Source organism: Homo sapiens, chromosome 3 (assembly GCF_000001405.40).
Source record: "Homo sapiens chromosome 3, GRCh38.p14 Primary Assembly".
Lineage (NCBI taxonomy): Eukaryota > Metazoa > Chordata > Mammalia > Primates > Hominidae > Homo > Homo sapiens.
In genome coordinates this window covers 154762984-154767749 of record NC_000003.12, presented here as the reverse complement: position 1 = coordinate 154767749, position 4766 = coordinate 154762984, and the positions used below count along the sequence as shown (strand labels likewise).

General features: G+C 42.2%; 1 annotated feature.

The window, feature by feature from the left end:
- Positions 987–1488: an enhancer, noted in NCBI's record as "H3K4me1 hESC enhancer chr3:154484051-154484552 (GRCh37/hg19 assembly coordinates)". NCBI's record gives its function as "activates a minimal SCP1, AML or CMV promoter by ChIP-STARR-seq in naive H9 embryonic stem cells {active_cell/tissue: H9 hESC(naive)}" and the evidence as "EXISTENCE:reporter gene assay evidence [ECO:0000049][PMID:30033119]".

Genomic DNA, 4766 nt, shown 5'->3' with positions numbered 1-4766 from the left:
AAGGAGAATTATAGACAGGCAAATAATTAATTAAAGTTCAACAGAAATCCCGTAAAAGACATATGTACAAAACCAATGGTATCCTAGAGACAGGATACTTAATTCTACACAAGTATCAAGGAAGGCCAGAAGAATCTTCTCAGAGTAACTTATACTCTAGTTGCAGTGAAAGGATGAGCATCAGTTGTCAGTCAGGGAGGGCTTTACAGAAATAGAGAACAAGAAAAACGTGCAAAGACATAGACCCCTGGAAATAATTTTGTATGAATGATAGGTCTACAAGTTATATAAAAATGAGGTCTAGATATAAAACTGAGAAGGGCCCTAAAACCAAATCATGAAGACACTACTTGCTAAGAGGTTTGGTCATTATTTCAAAGGCAATAATTCAGAGGAAGAAAGCAATTAAGGACTTTAGATCATAAAGGGAAACAACTAATTTGTTTTTCAGGGAAGATCATTTGAAAAAAGGGAAGTGTGAGAAAGCCTGGTGGCACAAAGATCTGACAGAAATCAAGTCAGTAGCCCAAGCAAGAGACCGAGACATTGACAGTGCAGAGACACCATCAAGTTCAAGAGATGTTTTAGAGACAAGTCAAATTTGGGGTGAGGTGAGGTAATGGGACAATTCAGAGTGATTCAAGTTTTCTAAATGATGGCAGTGGAGGCCCTATGGAACTGCCACTGCCATCAAACCAGCTGCAGCAGGGAGGCGTGGCCTGGGCCTCTGGCTCCACAGAGCAGGCAGGAGCCCCACCCTCCCAGGTGGGGCGGCAGCCGCTCAAGTCATGGCTGTGGTTCTCGGCCTCCTGCTCCAGGGAGCAGCCCAGAGACACACCCCCCCAGGTGCAGCTGCAGCCACCCAAGTCATGGCTGTGGATCCAGGCCTCCTGATCCAGGGTGCAGGCAGGAGCCCCACCCTCCCCAGCACAGCTACAGCCACCTAAGCTGTGGCTGCAGAGCTGGCTATCTCTGCACTCACAGGGCATTCCCCGTCCCCTGCCCTTGCAGGTTCAGAAGTGCCTGCTCTTGCTGCCTGGTTTGTCCCTGCCTTTGGAGCCCACTCAGAACTTGGAGCAAAATTGGGGCTGAGCCTGGGTGCCATAAATGGCAGCAGGACACAGACAGATTCCTGGGTGGAAGGGGGTGGGTCCCCAGTGAGGCCTGAAGGCCAGGGAGGGTCTGAAGGCTGGGGCCAAGATGCCAGTCCCAAGGACTGAAGTAGGAATTTGTAGTGCCTTTTCTGGGCCACCTATGGCCACTCATGGGCCAACTGGCATGCGCTTCGTCCCCTCTGAAGCCCATAAAAGCCCAGGCTCAGCCAGAGCTGAGCAGATGACAGATGAGCAGCTGCAGAGATGAACTACCCTCTCTGTTGACAGCAGGAGACATTGGGATGACCAGCAGCAGAGGGGAGCAACCCACTCCAGGGCCTCCTCTCTGCTAGGAGATGAACACATGTCGGGACACCCTGGCCGCAGAAAGGAGCTATCCATTGGGATCCTCTCCTGTGAGTTGTTCTATTGCTCAATAAAGCTCCTCTTCATCTTGCTCACCCTCCACTTGTCTGCGTACCTCATTCTTCTTGGTTGCAGGACAAGAACTAGGGACCTGCCGAATGGCAGAGCTAAAAAAGTATTACACAAATGGCTGAAACATGCCCCTTTCTTGCCACTTTGCAAGGAAAGAGAAGAAAGAAGAGCTGCAGCCCTTTAGGGAACCCAGACCTGGGAGCTCCCAAGCCAGGACTGTGACTCCCCCTTTGGGGTACTGCAGTGCCTGGCGTCTCCAAGCTTCTGGGTGCCAGTGCAATTCCCAGGTGCCCTCTGGGGAAGCTGCTTGTGGTGCACCTGGTCCAGCTGCAGCCTTGCAGAGACCTGGCACCCATACCAGCACCTGGAGCTTCCTGCTCTGCTGCAGCAGCCTGTGTGTCTGACTTGCAGTGGCCAAACCCCAAACTCACTCACATACCCCTTGTTGCTCCACATTTAACTTGCCCTTGGCAGATGTGGGATCCAGGTCAGTAGTGTGAGCCAAGCATAGCCTGCCAGGCTGAGTGGGCAGAACCAGCCTAGTGGGCCTCAGCAAAACTCAGGCAAAGGCACCACCAGCCAGAGGTTTCAGGCCAGAAAAGTGACACCCCAAAGATCCTGAAACATAACCTGCCAATATCCATTGATGCCATTATCCAAGGAAGGAAAGAGGACACTCAGAGTTCAGTGTTTGTTTTATAACATGCTCTATGACCTTTCTTTTAGAAGGTTGTGTGGAAAGAGAGAAGCCAAAGCCATCATGTAAAAAAGGCAATACTTTATGTTTTATTCACATTAATTCTTGCAAACAGCAGGAAGCAATTATCAGTTGGAGAGGAAGTATTAAACATAAAAGTTTTATGAGTGACTTCGTATGTACAATAATTTATGACATTAGATTCTGGCAGTTCCAATTTTCACTCCTCCATTTTTAATTGAAACAAAAAAATTTTAAGGTAATAGAAAGCAAAACATTTGGGAAAACTTCATGAATCTTTTTGATATCATTATATCACACTGTCACACGTTCTCACACTATTATTTGAGGTTCACTCAGTTATACTTACGGAAACACAATTTAGGAAATAACCTATGATTAAGAAAGAATCATCCATGAGTTTTTTTAATACTAAGTGAAAAAAATGATTCAGCCCTAGTATTTCAGATGCCATGGAAATGGGGAAAGTTTTTATTTAGTTTTAGTTTCATATTAGAACTCTATAGCCAACAGTTTAAAATCTGGAATGGGACTAAAATGTGGTCTAGTTCTGCCTTTTTATTTAACAGATGAGGAAACTAAGAATTGCAGGTGTTGAGTGACTTAGGGCAAAACTAGGTTTAAAATCACTGTTTAGGCAGGCCTCCCACTTGAGATCACCTAAGGTCAGGAGTTTGAGACAAGCCTGGCCACCATGGTGAAACCCAATCTCTATTAAAAATACAGAAATTAGCCAAGTGTGGTCATGCACGCCTGCAATCCCAGCTACTGAGGAGACTGAGGCATAAGAATCGCTCGGACCTGGGAGACAGGGGTAGCAGTGAGCCAAGATTGTGCCACTGCACTCCAGCCTGGGCAACAGAGTGAGATTCTGTCTCAAGAAACAAACAAACAGAAGAAAGAAAACAACAACAACAAAAACACTGTTTAATCCAGTAAAACTTTCTCAAGTGTTAATATAGTATAGAGAATGGGAAACTATTTTAAATCAAGTCCTCAAAAGTAATTGCAACAAAACCAAAAATTGACAAATGGGAACTGATTAAACTAAAAAGCTTTTGCATGGCAAAAGAAACTATCAACAGAGTAAACAGACAACACACAGAATGGGAGAAATTATTTGCAAACTATGCATCTGAGAAAGGTCTAATGTCCGTAATCTATAAGAAACGTACATCAACAACCAGAAAACAAATAACCTCATTAAAAAAATGGGCAAAGAACATGGACATTTCTCAAAAGAAGATATACAAGCAACCAACAAATATATAAAAAATGCTTATCATCACTAATCATCAGAGAAATGCAAATAAAAGCCACAACGAGATACTGCCTCACAGCAGTCAGAATGGCTATTATTAAAAAGTCAAAAAATAACAGACGCTAGCTGGGTTGCCGAAAAAAGGAAATGTTTATACACTGTTGGTTGGAATGTAAATTAGTTCAGTCCCTGTAAAAAGCAGTTTGGAGATTTCTCAAAGAACTTAGAATTACCATTTGACCTAGCAATCTCATTATTTTATATATATATATATATATATATATATATATATATATATATATAGAGAGAGAGAGAGAGAGAGAGAGAGAGAGAGAGAGAGAGAGAGCGAGAGAGAGAGAGATTATATATAATAATGAGATTATTATATATATTTAAAGGAAATAAATCATACTACTAGAAAGACACGTGCACTAGCAGAAATCATCCTAGGTGCCCATCAGTGGTGGATTGGATAAAGAAAGGGTGGTACATATACACCATGGAATACTACACAGCCATAAAAAATGAAATTATATCCTTTGTGACAACATGGATGCAGCTGGCAGCCATTATTCTAAGTGAATTAACACAGAAACAAAACCAAATACCGCATGTTCTCACTTATAAGTGGAAGCTAAACATTGAACACACATGGAAATAAACATGGGAGCAATAAACACTGGGGACTACTAGAGGTGGTAGAAGAGGGAAGGGAGCAAGGTCTGAAAAACTACCTGTTGGGTACTATGCTCCATACCTGGTGACAGGATCCTCTGTATCCCGAACCTCAGCATCATGAAATACTCCCATGTTACAAACTTGCACATGTACCCATTGAAACTAAAAGTTGAAATTATTTTTAAAAATAAAAGAAGCCTCTTTGGAGAGTCTTAGAAAGGGGATGACCTATATATACATTTATTTTGTAGATTTTTCTTAACCATGATAATGTATATATTAATACTTCTTATAATTAAAGCTAATTTTAAAATATTTTAAAAGTAAACAAACAAAAAAGAGACACTGATAATGAATGAAAAATAAACTTAAATATTGACAAAATTTTTAAAATGATATGTTTTTCAGTCCCAGCTCTGAAACTGTAGTTGGAGGGCAAACCATTTCATCATTATCATACACCATTTCTGTATTGGTAGGATAATGATCATAGTTTTTGTTTCACAGACTCATCATGAGGAGCAAATGCAATGATGTATGTAAAGGCTCTCTCTGCAAACTGTAAAACACTCAAGAA